The sequence below is a fragment of the Homo sapiens genome, chromosome 6 (genome assembly GCF_000001405.40).
Source record: "Homo sapiens chromosome 6, GRCh38.p14 Primary Assembly".
Classification (NCBI taxonomy): Eukaryota; Metazoa; Chordata; class Mammalia; order Primates; family Hominidae; genus Homo; species Homo sapiens.
Window position 1 is genome coordinate 102,521,143 of NC_000006.12, and position 25,172 is coordinate 102,546,314.

A 25,172-nucleotide genomic window follows, 5' to 3' on the forward strand; every position below is an offset into this window, starting at 1 on the left:
GCAGTTCTGTCATCTCAGCATCTGAAATGCTTTACATGCCAAGGCTATAGAAGTTTGGACTCTGCTCTTGTGCAATAAGCCTGCTGGTAACCTGGTATTCTGACTGGATTTTTTTTTGTTTTTACCAAATTTAAATTCTCCAGCTTTGTCTGAACATTTTGGCCGTGAATGTACATTTTCCCTCCGTATTCACTTATTTCCAGAATGTTTTATTGTATGATGAAAAAGTTTTCTTAATGAGATGGTATCCTAGTACATAACGCAAATTTAATCCTCGTGCACTGTTTTATAGACTGCTTTTAATCACTCTAGTTTGTATATCTGTGCCAATTTTTAGACAAAGAATGATATTTTTTTATTATTAATTTAATTTAAATTAAACCCAAGTAGCTTTCTTGTAATTTAAAGGAAAACACATGCTCATTGTAAATATACACACACACAAAATTAAAGATATAAAGAAGTCTGAGTTATACACCAACTAAGAAAAAAACACAGAATCAAATATTGTCATGCAAACTTCAAAACTTCATATATATATAATATATATATGCATGCATGCATACATGCAAATGTATAGGCATATGTTTAGAATGATAGAAAACTTTATAATACTTTTTGACTAATTTCATTTACTTAACAGTTTAAAAGGGACATATTTTTATGTCAATAAATTAAATAAATATCTTTTTTAACTACTGCACATTATTACAACATATACATGTAAGATAGATATAAGTAATTCACTTATTATTTTAGCACATTCATACTTCTATTAGTTTTTCTCATTGACAATGATAAATATCTTTGGTCATATGCCTGTGTATACTTCATTTATAAAGTGCTTACTGTATGCCTAACCTTGCTTTGACTGCTTTACATGCATTAACATATGGATTAACCCCAACAAGCCTGTAAAATAAGTACTATCATTTTTTTGATTACCTATAAGAAAACTGAATCTTACAGAGGTAAAAATATAATTCAGTTAATCAGAATATATACTTTCAGAAGTGCAGAAATGAAATGATTGGGGCTAAAAAGTTTGGCCAAGGTATATCATGCTGGCAAATTGGTAGCTGAGTATTTTCTCTTCAAAGAGTTTTCTAATTTTTAAATTAGTCTGTTATGAACTACCATTATATCTGAAGGGTTTTTTTGTTTAAAATAGTTGTCTTTCTGGTAAATGTTGTGGTAAATTTTGTTCACACTGATGTAGTGCTTGCTTACAGAGGTGGTCTCATGACCTTTGCTAATTTCCAGAGAGGTTCTCTGCTTCCAGATTAGGGGAAACTCATCTTCACTGGAGAGAATTTGGGTTCTAGAAAACTTCAATGACTATAGTTATTTTCAAGTAAATGGATCTCTTCTCTATGTCTCTTATTTCCTCACTAAGCAATATTTTAGTTAAGAGGTAGAAAAAACTTATATTACAACTATATTTTATCATTTCTTGCTCCATCCCTAATGCATCAGTATGCTATTTGATTGTATTAGCTAACATGACTAGATGGCAGGTGCCAAAATCTTTCTTATATCGTCACATTTGCCCGCCTTTGTTCTTTTAAGTGTGGTTCTCAAGATTGCCCTCCATTCGTTTTCTCATCACAACCAGAATAAAAAATTGGTTTTCATCTCTGTGGATGACAAAAGGGATCCCCCCAAAAAGTTTTTAATAATCTCTACCTAGCAGTATACTTCCATGTATTCTTTAAATATTCTTTAAATTTGTCATATTTTCTGTTAATGCTTCTACTCTTGATTCTATCTGTTTTGTTCCTCACTGGGAATTTCTGTACAGGCATTAACTATTTTTTATGCCACCATCTTTCCAGTTTGATTTCTGGATGTCAAGTGCTAAAACAACATTAATGCAGTGGCTTATGATCTGAAGTCTGTAGATAGTTCAGCTTGGTCCTAAGAAAGAAAAAGCAACTGAATACTACATTCTGTCTAAAAACTGAGAGAAGTTCCTAGACAGCCTAGTGAACAGTGACAATAAGTATATTTGACAAAATTATGCCTGAAGAAAAACTTCTTTGAGTAAGTTACATTGTAAATGAACTTATTTATTCTGCTATATTATATCTTCAACAAATGTATAAATGATACAAAATAAGAACTGTAAGCTAGCAAAGTTACCATCCATATACTTAAAATTTTATAAACATATTGTTAAATATAATGTAAATTGAATGAGTTTGAAATAAAACTTTAAGGGCTTCATCGTAATTCCCTCTTCAGAAAGTTGATATTATCAATGGGTATGTAGTTATGCATAATATGGCTTGGATATGTGTCCCCACCAAATCTCTCATTGAATAGCAATCCCTAATGTTGTAAATTGGGCCTGGTGAGAGGTGATTGGATCTTGGGGGCGGTTTCGCATGAATAGTTTGGCTTCATCCCCTTGGTGCTGTTCTTGTGATAGTGAGATCCCACAAGTTAGTAGCACCTCCCACCTTCCTCTCTCTTGCTTCTGCTCCTGCCATGTGACATGCTTGCTCTTGCTTTGGCTTCTGCCATGTGTAAAAGCTCCTTGAGGCCTTCCCAGAAGCAAAAGCTGCCCTACAGCCTGCAAAACCATGAGACAATTAAACCTCTTTTCCTTATAAATTAACTAGTCTCAAGTATTTCTTTATAGTAATGTGAGAACAGGCTAATACAGATCAGAATCACCAACTGATACATGATTTTTCCAGAAGAAAATACCAAACCCCATAGAATTCACGGGCTATGTTGCCCAAATACAGGATGCCATTTTCATTAGGTTTAAGTGAATAGTGTCCCCTTGAGCACCAATAACGTGAGGAAAGTTAGTTCACATGAAAGGACAGTTAGAACAGGTGACAAGGAAGTTGACTGGGAAGAAAATATTGGATTCCAGAATAAATTAACGAGCTTGATATGCAAGTGGGATCACAACTATCTCTACATGTAAAAGCAAAGAACGTTTCATGAAATTACTGTCACCTGAAATTGCAATTGTTTATAAGGTTGATAGTAATTATTAGAAAAAGTTTATGATTATTTATCTATAGGAAACATAGGGTACCATTACTACTGTTATATATCTATTAAATGTTACTAGTGATAAAAAGTACAAGGTGAACTGGAACAACAAATCATGATTCTCTACACAGTTGGTAGAGCCAGAATAGGGTATTTTTCCATCACTTATTGGTGAAACAAAACTATGAACCAGAATTCCAACTTACAAAAGAATACATTGCTCTGGAAAAATTTGAGTATCTTAGAAATGAATAGCAGCCAGCTTATATCAGAGCAAAGAAAAAGGGAAGATATCTTGGGTCTGAAGTGGTAAATATATGTTTGAATCTCAATCAGTGGCTTTCTACCAATGTGAAATGGTTACATTATTTACCTTTTTCTTTCTATTATTTAAGTATAAGAATCATCTCCCAAAATCATTGTTATATACGTTTAAAATAGTGTATGTTGCAGTGCCTTGAGCACTGTCATTCTTCAATAAACACTACAAATGAAATATACCACAAATTAAAACTATATACCAAGAAACCTCAGTGGCTGCCTCAGGAGGATCATTGACTCCCACAATGATCATAATCACAACTACAGTAAACACAGTCAGCTCAACCAGAAAGGTTAGACTCTCATTTTGGAAGTAGTACAATACAACTGGGAGATTCCATGACTATCTCGACTACCTTCATTCTTTATCAATCAAAGGGATTTTCTGCAGCATGCCTATGTTACCACATTGATTTTGTGGAAATTCAACCTTGATAAATATCTTTGATTTGCAATGGCTTGCACAAGAACATAAATTACCTTAATCTGATGAAACTGACTACTGTCAATGCACAAAACAATCATTGGATATTTATAGATAAATTAGATGCATGTAAAAGAAGGAATATCGGAAGATAATATACTCATTGCCTAAACATTAAAAGGTATTTATCATATATTTTAAGTACCACTAATTGTTATGGTGATAAAAGAAATTTAACTATTTCTTTTAAGTCTTTGCTTATTCTCTGAAATATATTTCAGCCTGGGAACTCTGAAAATTCATTATAAGACATAGGCTTAGATGGAAGTTGTTTACTTGGGAAATTATTTTAGGAAGCAGTAGTGAGTAACAGAAGATATCAAACAAGAACAGATGGAAAATTAGTTTAAGAAGCCTTTGTGGTGACTGCCAACTGATCCAGGACCAGTACATCATTCTTTGAATGATAGTACCCACTGACTTCCATTCATTATTGGTTATGGGGTCTCAGAGGTAGCCGTGAACTTCTAAAATGTCCATATTTTAATCTTGAATGGATTCTCCCAGCATCTCATTTCTCTATCTCGAGGAAGCACAAGAGAAGGAAGCAAGAGCTATGTGGCTGTGGGCCAAATGCAAAGAACTGTTAGGTTGTTCTGAAGCTGGTAGAAGCTGCAAGACTGGCAGAAGCAGGTAGTGTGAATGAAAGTACTTGAAAAGGATTACAAGAGCTGTCCAATGCAATCAATTAGATTCTCATGTGTACTTAAGGCAGGTTTACCAAATCAAGGATATTAACCATACTAAAGATTGTATTATTTAGGCTAGTTAAGAAAAACTATTTAAAAACCAATGTTAAAACGTTGTATTATTGGATTTGCATGGAAAATTATTATCTAAATGTCCACTTATATTCTTTTTGAAGTATTTTAATCCTTCATAGTTTTCTTCCCATGGGGCAATTTTTAGCATCTCTTATCATTCACTTTCCATCATAGCTTTCTAGTTGAAATTCTCTAAATGTTCTATTTGGGGTACAGCACATTCATTTGAACACTTTTAACTACAATGAGACAGCTCCCTTTGTAACTCTGTCCTAGATTTGACTTAGAATCTAATTCAATATTCTAATTAAAATTAAATGTTTCAGTTTTGCTTAATATACCACACAGGGGTTGCCAAGGAAATATCTACCCTTTTAGCCAATTTATAGCTTACATCTGAGTATTTTTCAGTCTCACCAGCAGTGCAAGTTTATAGTGGATGATCTTTCATCCTGAAAAATGAATCCAGCTGTGTTGCCACTAAGAATTGGTGGTGTGCAGTCTGTTAAATAGCATGCAATTCAACTAAATCCTGATTACAATGTGCAAAATAAAGAGATTACTATAACTATGTTAAGCGTGGTTAATTTACTGGATGCATTTATTAGAAACACATTTTGTTCATTTTTAAAACGAAGTTTTCTCTATTGTGAGATTGTTTGTCAAGATCAAAATTTGTTTAAAGAAAACCATAACAGGCCATTTTAGTAGAGGTATCTCTCATATTGAAAAATTAAGTAGGTTTTGGAGAAGCGTAGCCTATGACTATTGAGCTCATTTAAAAATTAAGTCAAAAAATTTAAAAATAGATGTATGACTTTGGATTAAAAAATAACAGGTGAGTGACATTACATTTGGTTTAGATAAAATACATACATAGCTCTATACAGTAGTATAGAATAAATGTTCTATTTTAGTTTTTCATATCTTGCATAAATTCTTGGATGCTGAGGCAGCCTCCACTGCTAAACATACCACCACATAATACTAAATAAGTTACTGCTAATGTCCAATCATGTCCACACTGAGAGTAACATGTGTCATGTCAACGTGCATGATGGATAGGAACTAACAGAAGCAGCTTCATTTCTCACACTCTAGGCCAGCTGCACTTACATCTTATAATATCTATGTATCATACAGAATTGAGTGCCATCAACAAAATGTTGGCAGCAGGATGAAAGTGGAAGAGCTGGGCTACTTGCTCATATAATATATTTAAGTTATTTTTATGGGAATGAAATCTATATTGTCCATTTTTAGTTTAAAGAAATAAATGAACTTTGTTATATGACATTTGATTAATTGAAACTCTACAAACGAAATCTTCATATCCCTATTACAAGAAGAATTACATTACCTAATACCTGTAATGAAGTCTTGAAGTAATATGAAATAGAGAAATCTGAAATGTGAAAACTGTCAGGTTTAAATTTAATAATAATTTATCAAATATCAATTATGAATCAATTTAATTTACTCATGTAAGTAATGCCCTACAGGGGCACTATTATTTTCATTTTGTTAATTTGGAGTATAAATAGCAACTTACCCAAATTTGTGTAGTGTCAGAGAAAGTTTTTGAAATCAAATCCTCTTGGTTTCATAAATGTCCTATTATAAAAATGACTCCGAGGAAATTATAATAGCAAACTATATTTTGGGACACAGAATAAATTGGATTAAGAAACTGAAAAGGAGAATAAGAAAATGGGAGTATAATACAATAGGAGTAAACATCTTGGAGAGAGAAGAGATGCGTATCTCTCCTTTTTGGGAGAGATATGGAAAAGAAGACAGAATAAGAACAAGAGTATGCGAAATGCTTTCTGCTGTATACAGCAGTCCCCTTTATTCAAAAGGGATATGTTTTAAGACCCTTAATGAATGCTTGAAACTGCAGTTAGTGCCAAACACTATATATACTATGTTTTTCCCCCCTATGGCTTAATTTATCATTTAGGCACAGTTAGAGATTAACAAGGATAACTAATAATAAAATGGAACAACTATAACAATACACAGAATGACACACAATTTTAAATTTATGAATAGTTTATTTGACAGGTAACTGAAACTAAGAAAGGCAAAACTACGGATAAAGGAGAACTACCCTGTGTGTGTGCATGTGTGTGTGTATTACTATTACATATATATCATTTTATCTATATGTGTATATCTCATTATATCTCTCTACATATAATGAAAACTAAAATTATACTTCTAATTATTTTTTACATTTTTAAGTACACAAGCAAGTGTAACACAATAATTAGTGACAAACAGTTCTTGTGTGCTGAAGATTTTTGGTTAGGAGTGGATGTAGCAAAAGGATAGTAAGATAGAACACAAGGAAGCATGAAAAATTGCATCTGTTAGTCCAGTGATATGGAGGCCCAAATGGAAAAGATGTTATGGGAGAATATGCCAAAAATAAAACAAAGCAAACAAGCAAAACTACAAAAATTAATTTGACTTCAGGAGAAAGGACGAGGTTTAAGTGAAATTGTAAGAACAACTTACATACGGAATTGAAGTTGCATTTAGTACACATAAAACAACGGAGTAAGACTTTTTTCTGGCTTTGAAAAAATGAATAACTTTTGTAGAAATGTTGCCTTGGGTATTTTTAAATAGGAATAATTTATAAAAATTAGGCTAAAGATATTTCAAATGACGGAATGGCATGTAAACTCTGTGCTGCAAGAAAGTAGCCTGCTTTTTTTGAGTGAGATGGTGGCAGAAAATAATTCAAAGACAAGTACTTCTTGAAACTGTAGAGAGGCAAGAGAGGGACCTGATGTCCTAAGCCCAATTTTTCCATTTATTACCGGAAAATAACAACTCGTTAACCAATTCTATTAAATATTTGCATTTTAGATATGCAAATTTGAAGAAAAAAGAAAACAAAAAGAACCTCCTAGCTATCATTGAAGATCCCCTGAGCTTTTCCTCCGAACTGATAGGATTCTGTAAAATATCATTAGAGAATAAATAGCAATCTGGAGCTAACATAAAAGCTTCTGCTGCTCATGAGAAAATTATAAGATAATATTCATTTGGTTGTAATCGTCTACTAAAATGATGCCCCAGGGATAATAGAAAAATAATACATTCCAAATTGTTTACCTATTTTTACTGAAATGATTCCTTTATGCGTCATCCAACACAGTCTAACCCCCTGAAAGAGACCTTTATCATCAGTTTGCACCAATTCCTTATGAATTCTGCTGGAAATAGAGTTTGTGAAAATGGATAACACTATTAGGCAAGTTAGACTTGATAATGATTTCTGGTAAATATTACAATTTGAAATATTTTTTTCTAGTCAGTCCTAGTTTGGGGTTTTTGTTGTTTTTGCACGTGTACAAATTGAAATTTTTCTTTGAAACATTTGAAACAAATAAAAGGCCAGTGATGTTTTTGTTGTTGTGGTGGTGGTGGTGGTGGCGGTGGTTCATTTGTTTTGGAAGAATATATTTGTTTTTAAGTGGAATGTATTTGATATTCTGAGTTGCTTCTGATTTTTGTGTCTAAAATACCCTAAACCTTTTATTTAGACATGATGAGAGCCTCATGCAGAGGGATCAGGGGCTTGCTTATTGAGCTTATCTTTATATTATAGATAATGCTCTCAAAGAAAACAGTCAATAATGTCTGTACCACTAAGTCTAATGGGTAGACCTCACTCTCTAACCTACTGGACTGCAAAGCAGCATTTAGTATAGCTGGCTACTCATCTTTAAACACATTCTTCCCTAGTCTAGAAGAATAACAGGCTCCTCATGGCATCCTCTTACCTTTCTTGGTGTTCCTTACATATCTTTCTTGCCAACTCTTGTTTGGCAAGTCAATCATCAAGTAATAGAAGATCTCAAATTTGTTTTCTGGCCATACATTTCTTATCCACCTATACCATTTATCTAGGTTATTGCTTTTATTCTTAGGGTATTGATTAAAAATCATATGTGTTTACATACATATTTTTCAGTCTTGTCCTGTCATCTTAGTTTTAGATTTGTATAACTAGTTACATACTCAAAATCTCAATTTAGATGAACCAGTGGACCTCAACATGCTACGTTCAAAACTGTTGTCAAATCATTAACACAGTGTCTCTTGTTCAACTTATCCATTTCAATATTCCCTATTTCAGCAAATTCAATCAGCATGCACTTATTTGCTTGGGTCAGAAAACTTACAAATATTAACAACTCCCTTCACCTCTCTCTCAACCCTTATATAATTGCATTACTTCCCCTTAATATCACTTATATTTGTCCATCATTTTCTGTCTATATTGCCAAAATATAATTTTTAAAAAGCATTCATTGTTTGTTATATTACACCACCTTAGACACTTAATTGATAAATACATGTCTACTATATTTCCCATTCACATCTCCATATAGGAGTTTAGTGATATTTTAAAAAATTCAATCAAGTAATGATTTTAGTTTTAGATGATTATTAAATCAGTAGGTCCTCACTGACTGAAGTAAAACATTTAAAATCGCCAGTAAACATGTAAGGACTTATACTGTTTATCTTACATCTTCTCCATGGCTTTATTGCCAACCTTTCTGGCCATCATCAATATTTCAGACATAACTCTACTCAGAGACTTAATACATACTATACTTTCTACCTGGAGGACTTTTTAACTCATATATATTTTTTAAACCATTGACTGACATTTTCTTTAAAATGTGTCTGCTAAAACTCAATACGTCATCTAAAAAAGTAAAACTTCTTGCCCTTAATACCCAGAAATTTTACATTTGCTACACATGTGTACCTGCAGAATATTTAAGCAGCATATTTTTTAAAGCAACACAACTGTAAATCTATTAAATGGCAATTATCAATACCAAAATTTTAAATTAAAATATTTTAGTTTCCTTGTCAAATAATAGTTGATTATATATACATGGGTTTATTTCTGGGTCCACTCTTCTGTTCCATTGGTCTATGTGTCTACCTTTCATGGCAGTAACATACTTTTTAAATTACTACAGTTTTGTAATATAATGTGAAACCAGGAAGTGTGATGTCTCCATCTTTTTTCTTTTTTTTCTTAAAATTATTTTGACTATTTGCTATGATTCCATATGAATTTTAGTTTCCTTCTATTTGTGTGGAAAAACATCATTGGAATTTAGATAGGAATTGTATTGAATCAGCAGATCACTTTGGGTAGTATAGACATTGTAACCATGTTAATTCTTCCAGTTCATGAACACGAGCTATCTTTCCATTTATTTGTGTATCCTTTAATTTACCTCATCAATGCCTTATAGTTTTCAGTACAAATATCCTTTGCCTCCTTGGTTAAATTTATTTCTAAGTATTACATTTTTGATGCCATTGTGATGACATTGTTTTCTTAATTTATTTTTTTATAGTTCTTTGTTAATGTATGGGAACACAACAAATTTTTGTATGTGAATTTTGTATGTAAATTTTGTATTCTGCAACTTTACAAAACTTAATTTTGTGGAGTGTTAGGATTTTCTTTATATGAGACCAACTGGGAAAGAAAAGTCTTTCAAATGATTACTGTTAGGAGAACTGGATATCCACATGGAAAAGAATGAAATTGAGTCCTTGTCCTATATCATATACAAAAATTAAAATAGATTAAAGACTTAAATGTGAAGTCTGGAATTATAAAACTTCAAGAAGAAAACATAAAAGCAAACTACTTGATATTTGTCTTTACAATGAATTTTTGGATATAATACCAAAAGCACAGAAAATAAAAGCAAAATTAAAGAGTGGGACTACATTAAACTACCAAACTTCTGCACAGCAAACAAAGGAAAATGAAAAATATCTTATAGAATGGGAGAGAATATTAGAAAATCATGTATCTGAGAAAGAGTTAATACTCAAAATACAAAACAAACTCATACAACACAACTGCAAAACAAACAGCTTGATTAAAACATTGGCAAAATACTGGAATGAACATATCTCTGAAGAAAACATACAAGTGACTAACATATAGGAAAAGGTGCTCAACATCACTAATCATCAGAGAAAGGCATATCAAAACTATAATGAGATATCATCTCTTACCTATTATTAGACAGACAAGAGATACATGTTGGTAAGGTTATAGAAAAAAAGAAAATCTTTGCACGACGTGAGTAGAAATATAAATTGGTACAACCATTAAGGAAAAGAGTTTGGAGGTTCCTCAAAAAATTAAAAATAGAATTATAATAACAGCCAGCAATCATACTTCTTGACATATATCCAAAGGAAATAAAATAAGCCTATCAAAGAGATATCTGCACTCTCATAGTCACTGAAGCATTATTCACCATAGCCAAGATATGGAAATAACTTGAAAGTCCATTGATGGATGAGTGAATAAAGAAACGTGGTATCTATACACAATGGAATACTGAGTATATTCAGCCATAAAAAAGAAAAAAATCCTCCCATCTGCAACAACATGGATGAACATTATACAAGTGAACTAAGCCAGAACAAAAGACAAATACTGTATAACCTCACTGATACGTGGAATCTAAAGAACTTATACTTACTATATATCCACAAAAATTTTTAAAAATTATAAAAACTTGAGCTCAAAGAGGCAGAGATTAGAATGGTGGTTGCTAGGGGCCTGAGAGCAGAGGCGGTGGGGAAATATTGGTCAGAGGGTTCAGACTTTCAGTTATAACACAAGTTCTGGGGATTTAGTGTACAGCATGTATAGCGATGGATGTGTTGATTGTGGTAATCTCTTCAGAATGTGTACATATTTAAAATAATCACAGTGTACACTTAGAATATATTCAATTTCTATTTGTTAATTATATATGTAAAACATTTTAAAAATGCTATATATATGTAAATGAATAAATCAATGAAAATGTCATAAACGAGTGAATGGACAAATGTCATATGTTTAATTATAAGTAAGTTTCAAAATCATAATATTAGATTTAAAAACAAAATTATAGATGTACATTTAAGTGTATGATTTTATATAAGTTATACAATTTGGCATTTTATATAAATCATATAAATTGGCAAACTAAATAAAATACCAGTTCATCTTTATGTGGTTAAACTATGAATAAAAGCAGGAGAGGGTTAAATTCAAAATTGAGAAAATTTGCTTGTTTGAAGCCAAGATAGGAATGTAATGGGGCAGGAAAAAAAAAGCATATAAATTAAAAATAAAGCATTTCTTAAGATATATGCTTTGTTTAAACTACTAAAATAAAAGTTATTAAATTAAATAATACAAAGGTAGTCTATGTGAAAGTAAATCAGAAAACAATCATAGAGGGAACTAAAGGAACACCAGTGTATCAATTTTTAAAAATAAAAACATTAAATTGTAGCTATGTGTCAAAAGAGATTCTTGGTTTGACATTTGGATTTCATCTGAGAAAAACTGGTTTGTCAGTCTTCAAAACCAGAAACAGTTTTGTGTCCTCTTCACTCAATGTTTATTTCCTAAAATGGAAACTACAAAATACTGATGGATTAATTGAAGAAGACAAAAAGAAAGTGGAAAAAACATCTATGTTCATGGATTAAAAATTTAATATTGTCAAAATGACCATACTACACAAAGTAATACATAGATCAGAATATCAATGGCATTCTTCACAGAAATAAACAAAACAATCCTAAAATTCATATGGAAGTGCAAAATACTGAAAATACCCAAAGCAATCCTGATCAAAAGGAATAAAGCTGTAGGCATCGCACTACATGACTTCAAAATATACTACAAAGCTATAGTGACCAAAACAGTATGGTATTGGTAGAAAAACAGACACATAAACTAATGGAACAGAATAGAGAACAAAGAAATAAATGTTAATACTTGCATTCAACTGATTTTTGATTAAAAAAAACAAGAATATGCTTTGGAAGAGGACAGTCTCATCAATAAATGGTGCTGGGAAAACTGGATATCCAAACACCGAAGAATAAAACTGGATCTCTGTCTCTCACCATATACTCAAATTAAAGGTTTAAGTGTAACACTCAAAACTATTAAATTCCTAGAAGTAAACATAGGGACAATATTTTGAGATATTGGTCTGGGAAAAGATGTTATGGAAAAAACTCCAAAAGCATTAGCAACAAAAGCAAAAATAGACAAATGGATTATATCAAACTAAAATGTTTTTGCACAGCAAAAAATAAAACAATCAGTATAATGAAGGGACAACCTACAGAATGAAAAAAAATATATTTGTAAATAATTCATCTGACAAGGGATTAGCATCCAGAAAATAGAAGGAGCTCAAACAACTCAATAGCAAGAAAACAAATAATCAGACTTAAAAAACTGGAAAATAGTCTGAATAATATTTATCAAAAGAACACATACAAATGAACAACAAGTGTATAAAATCTGCTGAACATCACATATGATCAGGAAAATGCAAATTAAAACTACAGTGAGATATCACCTCACCCCAGTTAGAACAGGTATTATCAAAATGACAGAACCTAACAAATGCTGGTGAGAATGTGGGAAAAAGGGAATTCTTATATGCTATTGGTGGGCATGTAAATTAGTACAACCATTATGGAAAATAGTATGGAGATTCCTCAAATAACTAAAAGTAGAACTATCAGGCAAGGCAGCAATCTCACTACTAGGTATCTATCCAAAGAAAATAAAATGAGTACGTCAGAGATATCTGCACTCACATATTTATTGCAGCACTATTCACAATAGCAAAGACATGGAATTAACCTACATGTTCATCAATGGATGAATGGAAATATACAATAGAATACTACTCAGCCATAAAAAAGAGCAAAATCCTGTACTTTGTGATAACACTGCTGAGCCTGGAGGACATTATGTTAAGTGAAGTAAGTCAAGCACAGAAATATAAATATTACATATTCTCACTCATAAGCAGGAGATAAAAATGTTCAGTCAATAGAGAGTAGAATTATAGTTACTAGGGCCTGAGAGGAATAACACAGAGGTGGGAATAGAAAGAGGATAGTTAGTAGACAAAAGCTACAACTAGATAGGAGGAATAAGTGCTAGTGTTCTACAGCACTGTAGAGTGACACTACTTAACAATAATTTGGTGCATATTTTAAAATAACCAGGAGAATTTCAAACGTTCCCAACACAAATAAATAATAAATGTTTAAGGTGATGGATATGCTAATTACCCTGATTTGATAACAAAACATTGTATCCAAAAAATTTTTTCCTTGTTCCAAAAAATGTTTGAGGTGATAGCTATGATAATTATCCTGATTTGATCATAAAACATTTCATCCAAAAAATTTTTTTCTTGTTCATCAGAATATGAGGCTAGCAAAGCAATGCCTTCTTGCAGTGTCTCCTTTACATAAAGCTAATTAAAAAAAAAAATTAAAAATAAAATAAAAAATCAGTTAAAAAATTTAACTGAGTTTGAGGAATAAAGAAATGGAAACAAATAAAATTGATTGCAAGACTTTTTGTTGGGTAAAAGCTTTGAGGGTAATATAAAAACACAAAGAGAAAAATCATGTTAAATCTCTCTTCTACACATATCAGCAAGCATTGGTTCTTAATTCCATGCTATTTGAAAGCCACCTCATGACACATGAGAAAGAAGCCTTCATGATGATATATATATTGTCTCTCAGGTGTGTTTTAAAAAGTAATTGCCCATGCCTATGTCCTGAATGGTAATGCCTAGGTTTTCTTCTAGGGTTTTTATGGTTTTAGGTCTAACGTTTAAGTCTTTAATCCATCTTGAATTGATTTTTGTGTAAGGTGTAAGGAAGGGATCCAGTTTCAGCTTTCTACATATGGCTAGCCAGTTTTCCCAGCACCATTTATTAAATAGGGAATCCTTTCCCCATTGCTTGTTTTTCTCAGGTTTGTCAAAGATCAGATAGTTGTAGATATGTGGTGTTATTTCTGAGGGCTCTGTTCTGTTCCATTGATCTATATCTCTGTTTTGGTACCAGTACCATGCTGTTTTGGTTACTGTAGCCTTGTAGTATAGTTTGAAGTCAGGTAGTGTGATGCCTCCAGCTTTGTTCTTCTGGCTTAGGATTGACTTGGCGATGCGGGCTCTTTTTTGGTTCCATATGAACTTTAAAGTAGTTTTTTCCAATTCTGTGAAGAAAGGCATTGGTAGCTTGATGGGGATGGCACTGAATCTGTAAATTACCTTGGGCAGTTTGGCCATTTTCACGATATTGATTCTTCCTACCCATGAGCATGGAATGTTCTTCCATTTGTTTGTATCCTCTTTTATTTCCTTGAGCAGCAGTTTGTAGTTCTCCTTGAAGAGGTCCTTCACATCCCTTGTAAGTTGGATTCCTAGGTATTTTATTCTCTTTGAAGCAATTGTGAATGGGAGTTCACTCACCAAAACCAATGGCAACTAAAGACAAAATTGACAAATGGGATCTAATTAAACTAAAGAGCTTCTGCACAGCAAAAGAAACTACCATCAGAGTGAACAGGCAACCTACAAAATGGGAGAAAATGTTCGCAACCTACTCATCTGACAAAGGGCTAATATCCAGAATCTACAATGAACTCAAACAAATTTACAAGAAAAAAACAAACAACCCCATCAAAAAGTGGGCAAAGGACATGAACAGACACTTCTCAAAAGAAGACATTTATGCAGCCAAAAAACACATGAAAAAATGTTCACCATCACTGGCCATCAGAGAAATGCAAATCAAAACCACAATGAGATACCATCTCACACCAGTTAGAATGGCGATCATTAAAAAGTCAGGAAACAACAGGTGCTGGAGAGGATGTGGAGAAATAGGAACACTTTTACACTGTTGGTGGGACTGTAAACTAGTTCAACCATTGTGGAAGTCAGTGTGGCGATTCCTCAGGGATCTAGAACTAGCAATACCATTTGACCCAGCCATCCCATTACTGGGTATATACTCAAAGGACTATAAATCATGCTGCTATAAAGACACATGCACACATATGTTTATTGCGGCATTATTCACAATAGCAAAGACTTGGAACCAACCCAAATGTCCAACAATGATAGACTGGATTAAGAAAATGTGGCACATATACACCGTGGAATACTATGCAGCCATAAAAAATGATGAGTTCATGTCCTTTGTAGGGACATGGATGAAATTGGAAATCATCATTCTCAGTAAACTATCGCAAGAACAAAAAACCAAACACTGCATATTCTCACTCATAGGTGGGAATTGAACAATGAGATCACATGGACACAGGAAGGGGAACATCACACTCTGGGGACTGTTGTGGGGTGGGGGATGGGGGAGGGATAGCATTGGGAGATATACCTAATGCTAAATGACGAGTTAGTGGGTGCAGCACACCAGCATGGCACATATATACGTATGTAACTAACCTGCACAATGTGCACATGTACCCTAAAACTTAAAGTATAATAATAATAAAAAAATAAATAAATAAATAAAAAATAAAAATAAAAAGTAATTGCTTTGTTTAACTCATAAGAACCTTCATTCTTGATTTCCACACTTGAGGGATTCATAAGTATGGGATTCAGGGTTCTAAATGAGCTTTTTCTACATTGGAACCTTCTCCACTCTTTTAGAGGAAAGATGATAATCCTTTTAGAATATCTATTTCACATTTTTCTAAAGCTACCTCAATCATACTTCTTTTTACCTTTTTATTTTCTCCTTCACTTTCCAGGCTCTTCTCCTGTCTCTTGGGAAACTGAATATTTGTTTACCAAATGATGTCTGTACTGCATCCAGAATAACAGTAAAGAAATTCCATATGAATAAAATGAATAAAAAATTAAAACTGTTTATATTCATTTCATTTTAAAAATGTTGTCGCTAATAAATTTTTCTCACTAAAACTGCAATTGAGAGCTGTAGCTGAGTAATGTCCTTATTCACTACCTATAAGAAGGACATTTTTGGTTTCATAATAAAAGTTTTAAACTTGATTTAAAGAGTATTTGAAATTTGACTTATGAATATATAGGCTTGTTTTTTAACAATATAGACTCTCTTTTTACTTTGTATTTTTAGTTGTGATAAAATGCCGATATGTTTTGGCTCATCCCCACCCAAATCTCATCTTGAATTTTAGCTCCCATAATCCCCACGTGTTGTGAGAGGGATCCAACTGGAGGTAATTGAATCATGGAGGTGGGTTTTTCTCATGCTGTTCTCATGATAGTGAATAAGTTTCATGAAATTTGATGGTTTTATAAAGGGCAGTTCCCCTGCACATGGTCTCTTGCCTGCTGCCATGTAAGACATGCCTTTGTTCCTCCTTCTCCTTCCGCCATGATTGCGAGACCTCCCTAGCCCTGTGGAACTGTGAGTCCATTAAATCTCTCTCTCTCTCTCTTTTTTTTTTAATATAAATTACCCAGTCTCGGATATCTCTTTATGGCAATATAAAAATGAACTAGTAAAGTAATTTGATACTGCAGAGAATGGGGTGCTGATGTAAAGATACCTGAAAATGTGAAAGTGAATTTGGAACTGATTGGGGGTTGGAACAATTTGGAGGGCTCAGCAGAAGACAGAAGAGTGTGGGAAAGTTTGGAACTTCCTATGGACTTATTCAATGTCCTTGACCAAAATGCTGACAGTAAAGTCCAGGCTGAGATGGTCTTAGATGAGGAAGATGTTAGGTGCAAAGGTGACTCTTGTTATGCTTTGGCAAAGAGACTGGTGGCATTTTGACCCTGCCCTTGAGATCTGTGGAATTTTGAAATTGAGAGAGATGATTTAGGGTATCTGTTGGAAGAAATTTCTAAGCAGCAAAGTTTTCAAGAGGAAGCAGAGCATAAAAGTTTGGAAAATTTGCAGACTGACAATGCAATAACAAAGAAAATCCTATTTTCTGGGGAGAAATTCAAGCCTGCTGCAGAAATTTGCATAAGTAACAAGGAGGCAAATATTATTCACCAAGAAAATGGGGAAAATATCTCCAGGGCATGTCAGAGAGTTTCACAGCAGTCCCTCCAATCGCAGGCCCAGTGGCTTAGGAGGAAATAATAGTTTCATGGGCCATGCCAAGGGCACCCCCTGCTGTGTGCAGCCTTGGGACATGGTGTCCAGAATCCCAGCTGTTCTAGCCATGGCTAAAAGGGCCAAGGTACAGCTCAGGCTGTGGCTTAAGAGGGTGTGAGACCCAAGCCCTAGCAGCTTCCATGTAGTGTTGAGCCTGCAAGCCTACAAGTGCACAGAAGTCAAGAAGTGAGGTTTGGGAACCTCCACCTAGATTTCAGAGGATGTATGGAAATGCCTGGATCTCCAAGCAGAAGTTTGCTGCAGGGGCAGGGCCATCATGGAGAACCTCTGCCAGGGCAATGTGAAAGGGAAATGTGGAGTACGACCCCTCACACAGAGTCCCCACTGGGGCACTACCTGGTGGGGCTGTAAGAAGAGGGTCACTGTCCTCTGGACCCCAGAATGGTTGATCTACCAACAAGTTGCATTGTACACCTGGAAAAGCCTCAGACACTCAATGCCAGCCCATGAAAGCAGCCAGGATGGGACTTGCACCCTGCAAAGCCATAGGGATGGAGCAGCCTCAGGCTTGGGAAGTCCACCTCTTGCATCAGCGTGATCTGGATGTGAGACATGGAGTCAAAGGGGATGATTATTTTAAAACTTTAAGGTTTAATAACTGCCCTATTGGATTTAAGACTTGCATGGGGCCTGTAGCCCCTTTGTTCTGGACAATTTCTGCCATTTGGAATGGGTGTATTTACCCACTGCCTGTACCCCCATTGTATCTAGGAAGTAACTAACGTACTTTTCATTTTACAGGTTCATAGGTGGAAGGGACTTGCCTTGTCTCAGATGAGACGTTGAATTGTGGACTTTTGAGTTAATGCTGAAATGCAGTAATACTTTGGAGGACAGTTGAAAAGGAAAGATTGTGTTTTGAAATGTGAGGACATGAGATTTGGGAGGGCCTAGAATGATATGGTTTTGTTGCATTCTCACTCAAATCTCATCTTGAAGTATAGCTCCCATAATCTCCATGTGGAGGTTTGGGAACCTCCAGGAGGGACCCAGAGGGAGGTAATTGAATCATGGGGGTGGGTTTTTCCGGTGATGTTCTCAAGATAGTGAATAGGTCTCATGAGATCTGATGGTTTTATGAAGGGCAATTATCCTGCACATGCTCTCTTGCCTGCCACCATGTAGGACATGTCTTTGTCCCTCCTTCACCTTCTGCCGTGCGTGTGAGGCCTCCCTAGCCATGTGGAACTGTGAGTCCATTAAACTTCTTTTTCTTTATAAATTACCGAGCCTCGGGTATTTCTTCATAGGAATATAAAATGGACTAATACAAATGCACATAAAATAAATATACTATCTTAAGCACTTTTAAATGTATGGTTTAGTAGTGTTAAGTATTTTTATGTGGTTGTGAATCAACATCCAGAACTTTTTAATCTTACAAAACTAAAACTCTATACCTGTTAGAAAACAACTCCCATTTCTCCTCCACCCGGATCACCATTCTACTTTTCGTTTACATGACTTTGATTACTGTAGATACTTCATATAAGTGGAATCATGGTATTTGTTTTTTTGTGACTAGCTTATTTTACTTAGCAAAATGTCCTCAAGTTTCATCTATGTTATAACATGTATTATTATAATTCTCTTCCTGTTTAAGGCTAAATATTGTCCCATTGTATGCATATGTCACATATTGCTCATCCATTCATCTATCAAAGGACGTTTGAGATCATATTGCAAATAATGCTGCTATGAACATGGTTTTGCAAGTATGTCTTCAAGACCTTCCTTACAACTCTTTTGAATATATATCCAGAAGTCAATTCCTGGATCATATGCTAGTTCTATTTTTAATGATTTTTAGACACTGTGTTACTGTTTTACACAGCGGCTGCACCATTTTGCATTTCTACCAACAATGAAAAAGGATTCTAATTTTTCCACCTCTTCCCAAACAATTGTTTTCTATTTTGTTTTGTTTTGTTTGTTTTTGATTTTAGCCTTCCTAATGCCTGTGAGGTAGTATCTCTTTCTGGTGTAAATTTGCATTTCCCTAATGATTAGTGATGTTTAGCATTTTGTCATCTAGTAGTTAGCCATTTGCATATTGCCTAAAGAAAAAGCTCTATTCAAGTTCTTTCGCTATTTTTAACTTAATATGTAATTTGCAAACATTTTCTTCCATTCCATAGTTGTCTTTTCACTCTGTTGATTGTGTTTTAGATGCACAGGTATTTTTATATGTTTGTCTTTATTTTGATGTGGTCCACTTTATTTATTTTTACTCTTTGTCTTGTTTTTGGTGTCATAACCAAGAAATTAATGCTAATTTCAATGTCATAAACCTTTTTTCCTATGATTTCTTCTTAGACTTTTATCAATTTAGTCCTTATGTTTAGGTCTTTAATGCATTCTGAATTAATTTTTGTATATGGAATAAGGTAAGCTTCTACCTGTATTATCTCAGCACTATTTTTAGAAAAGAATGATCTTTCTTCATTAAATGATTTTAGCTCCCTTGTCAAAAATTATATTATATATGCAAGATTTTATATGTGGGCTCTCTATTCTATTGCATTGTTATATAATTATGTTTTTATGCCAATGCTACATAGTTTTGATTGATTACTGTAGCTTTGTAACACATTTTAAAATTAAGAATTGTTAGACCTCCGAGGCTGTTCTTTTGCAAGATTGCTTTGGCTATTCAGGGTCCCTTGAGATTTCATATAAAATTTAGGTAAGTAAACTGGTTTCAAATTGCCTCACAAAAGGGATTTTGCACTAATTGTTAAATTTTATATTAGTTTTCTATATTATAATTAATTAATTGTATCCATTTAAAGATAATAAAGGGGTTCAGTTTTAATATTCTGCTTATGGCTAACCAGTTATCCCAGCACCATGTACTGAATAAAGAGTCCTTTTCTCATAGTTTGCATTTGTTGAATCTGTTAAAGATCAAATGTTTGTAGGTGTGCCACATTATTTCTAGGCTCTCTATTCTGTTCCATTGGTCTATGTGTCTGTTTTTGTACCGGTACCATGATGTTTTAGTTACTGTAGCCTTGTAGTATACATTGAAGTCAGGTAACGTCATGCCTCCAACTTTGTTATTTTTGCTTATGATTGCCTTGGCTATTTGGGCTCTTTTTTTTTGGTTCTATATGAATTTTGAAATACGTTTCACTAATTCTGTAAAAAAAATCATTGGTCATTTGATAAGAATAGCATTTAATCTTTAAAGTACTTTGGGCAGTATGGCCATTCTAAAAATATTGATTCTTCCTGTCCATGACCATGGACAATATATGGTGCTGGGATAACTGGCTAGCCATAAGCAGAATATTGAAACTGAATCTCTTCCTGTCTATGAGCATGGATTTTTTTTTGTTTATGTAAATTCTGATTTCTTTGAGCAGTGTTTTGTAATTCTTATCGTAAAGATCTTTCACCTCCCTGGTTAGCTGTATTTCTAGGTATTTGATTCTCTTTGTGGCTATTTTGAATGGGATTACATTCCTGATTTGGCTCTCAGCTTGGATTTTGTTGGTGGTCAGGAAAGTTACTTATTTTTATTCATCAATTTTGTAAAACTTTGTTGAAGTTGTCAAATCAAAAAGCTCTTAGTCAGAGGGTATAGGGTTTTGTAGTTATAAAATCATATAATTTGCAAACAGGGATAATTTGAGATAATCCCTCTCTTCCTATTTGGATGACTTTTATTTCTTTCTCTTGCCTGATTGCTCTGTCCAGGAATTCCAGTGTTATATTGAATAGCAATGGTGAGAGAGGACATCTTTGTCTTGTGCTGGTTTTCAAGGGGAATGCTTCCAGCTTTTGCCCATTCAGAATGATGTTGGCTGTCGGTTTGTCATAAATGGCTCTTATTGTTTTGAAGTATGTTCCTTCAAAGCCTAGTTTGTTGAGTGTTTTTAACATGAAGGGGTGTTGAATTTTATAAAATGCTTTTTCTTCATCTATTGAGATAATCTTGTAGTTTTTATTTTAGTTCTGTTTATTAAATGAATTACATTTATTGATTTGCATATGTTAAACCAACCTTGCATCTTAGGGATAAAGCCATTTTGATTATAGTGGTGGATTATCGTTCTGATATGCTGCTAGATTCAGTTTGCTATTATTTTGTTGAGGATTTGTGCATCTATGTTCATCAAAATTATGGACCTACAGCTCTCTTTTTTTGTTGTGTTTCTGCCAGGTTTTGGAGTCAGGATGATGCTGGCCTCATAGAATGAGTTAGGGAAGAGTCCCTCCTGCTCAATTTTTTGGAATAGTCTCAGTAATAGTGGTACCGGCTCTTTTTATACATCTGGTAATATCCAACTGTGAATCTGCCTGGTCTTGGACTTATTTTGGTTGGCAGTCTTGTTATTACTGATTCCACTTTGGACCCTTTTCTTACATCACTACATTTTTACATTTACAGTTTTACATGTACAGTTACAGCTTTACATTTAAGTCTTTAATCCACTGAGTTGATCAAAAATCAATTTAATGGACTAAATACTTAAGTGTAAAACCTAAAACTATAAAAACCCTAAAAGAAAACCTAGGAAATACCATTCTGGATAGAGGCCCTGGCAAAGATTTCATGATGATGATGCCAATAGCAGTCGCAACATAAAAAATTGACAAATGGGACCTAATCAAACTAAAGGGTTTCTGCACAGCACAAGAAAGTATCAACAGAGTAAACAGACAATCTACAGAATATGATAAAATATTTCCAAACTGTGCATACAACAAAGGTCTAATATCCAGAATCTATAAGGTACTTAAACAAATGTATAAGCAAAAAACAAATATTGCCATTAAAAAGTGGGCGAAGGACATAAACAGACACTTTTCAGAGAAGACATACATGTGGCCAAGAAGTACAAAGTTGCTAATTAGTAAAAATGCTCAACATCACTCATCACTAGAGAAATGCAAATAAAATCCACAAGATGATACCCTCTCCCACCAGTAAGAATGGCTATTATTAAAGAGTCAAAAAATAACAGATGCTGGCTAGGTTGCAGAGAAAAGGGAATGTTCATATACTGCTGGTGGGAATGAAAATTAGTTCATCCATTGTGGAAAGCAGTTTGGCAATTTCTCAAAGAATTTAAAACAGAATTACCATTCAACTCAGCAATCCCTCCTGGGTATATACCCAAAAGAATATAAATCATTTTACCATAAAGACACATGCATACATATGCTTATCACAGCACTCTTTGCAATAGGAAAAATGGAAGCAACTTAAATGCCCATCAAATGTAGGCTGGATAAAGAAAATGTGGTACATATATACCACAGAATACTTACTACACAGCTATAGAAAGAAAGAAATAATATCCTTTGCAGCAACATGGATGGAGCTGGAGGCCATAAATCCTACGTAAAATAACACAGGAACAGAAATCCAAATACCACATGTTCTCACTTATAAGAGGGAGTTAAACATCGGGTACATATGGACACAAACAAGCAAACAGCAGACACCGGGGCCTACTTGAAGGTGGAAGGTGGCAGGAGGGTGAGGAGGGTGAGGTTCAGAAAACTACCTATTGGTACTATGCTTATTATCTGTGTGATTGTGATAATCTGTACACCAAACTCCTGTGATATACAATTTACCTGTATAACATATCTGTACATGTACTACTGAACTTAGAATAAAATAAAAAAAAAACAAAATAGAAAAGGTAAGTGTATGCCTTTCTGTTGCTCAGTTATATAAATCTGATGGCAACACACTATTCAAGTTTTATATAAGGCTAATTTAAGCTGTATACATATTTTACAAGATTTTTACAATATGAGAAAATTATTGCTTTCTCACAAATTATTTAAATATGGAAAAATACATTTAATAAGTGAAATTATATTAGCAGATATTTTTAAAATTTGTTTAATCTTGTAAATACCTTTATTATAAATTATGAGGGCTTAATACGTTGGTTTACATGCAGATTCTGATTTAATCCTCAAACTAATATTAAAATGAATATTAAATCAAATTTACTAATAAATACTTCTGCTATCTAGGCAATTATTAAGTAAAAAAACAAAACATTTGTCATTTAACATACTGTTCATTATACATATTAATTATAGGATGGCTATAGATTAAAAGATGTGTAAGTGTTTAAAAACTTTTCCCACGATACAATTTGTAAATGTATTATAAAATATTTTGTTTTCTTTGTCATATTTTCCCCTCTGGCCCTAAAGGAAACACCAATTTGTCAGTTTGATTAAAGTGGCTAATTAATAAAATGTCTTAATCAGTTTTGGCTGCTGTAATTATCATTCACTGGGTGGCTTAATAACAGACTTTTATTTCTCACAGTTCTTTAGGCTGGGAAGTCCAAGGTCAAGGCACCAATATATCTGGTGTCTGGTGAAAGCCTTCTTCCTGCTTTGCCAGTGGTTTTCTTATTGCTGTATTTTCACATGGCACAGAGAAGAAAGAGAGAGAAAGAAAGAAAGCTTTCTTGTGTCTTTTTATAGGGCCACTAATCCCATTCATAAGGAGATTGATTTATAAGTGGGGGCTAAACATCAGGTGTATATGAACACAAAGAAGGAAACATCAGACATGGGGGTCTACTTGAGGGTGAAGTTTGGAGAAGGGTGAGGATCCAAAATCTATTTCTACCTCATGACCTAGTTACCTGCCAAAGGCCTTACCTCTTAATATCATCACTTTGGGCTGTTAGGGTTTCAAAATATCAACTTTTGGGAGAACACAAATATTTAGTACATAGAAAAAATTATGGCTTGTTCCCCAAGCAATTTTAGTTTATTAAGATAATAAATTTAATAACTGAATACAGTTAATTTTAATTTTAAAATAATAAACACTTTAATTGTATTATTTAGTTATATAATCATATTTTATTTATTTATTTATTTTTGAGATGGAAGCTAGCTCTGTTGCTCAGGCTGGAGTGCAGTGGCGCCATCTTGGCTCACTGCAACCTCCACCTCCCTGGTTCAAGCAATTCTCCTGCCTCAGCCTCCCGAGTGGCTGAGACTACAGGCTCACACCACCACGCACAGATAATTTTTGTATTTTTAGTAGAGACAGGGATTCACTGTGTTGGCCAGGCTGGTCTCGAACTCCTGACCTCGTGATCCGCCAGCCTCGGCCTCCCAAAGTGCTGGGATTACAGACATAAGCCACCATGCCCAACCTTATTTTATTTATTTAAATGCACATGTACACATTTATATTAAGATTATTTAAGTCTAAATAAATTTAACTTTTAAAAATTAATTAAATTCAAGAGAAATTTGAAGATGTATCATGTATAATGAACATTTGAACAAAAGTAATATTCACTGCCTGTGTTAAAAGTACAATCAAACAATTAATTTACTAAAAAATGTGAGGTATGTTACCATGCTTATGCCAATTTTCCTTATAAGGATAAGAGGCTTATAAATAGTTTACTGAATTTTTTTTTTTTTTTTTTGCTTAACAGATATTTACAAAGACGACATATTAAATTGGAGTTTTTCCCTTAAAATGACCATGTTGTTTCACTCTCAGATAACAGAAGTTCCTTTTTATTAGTAAAATC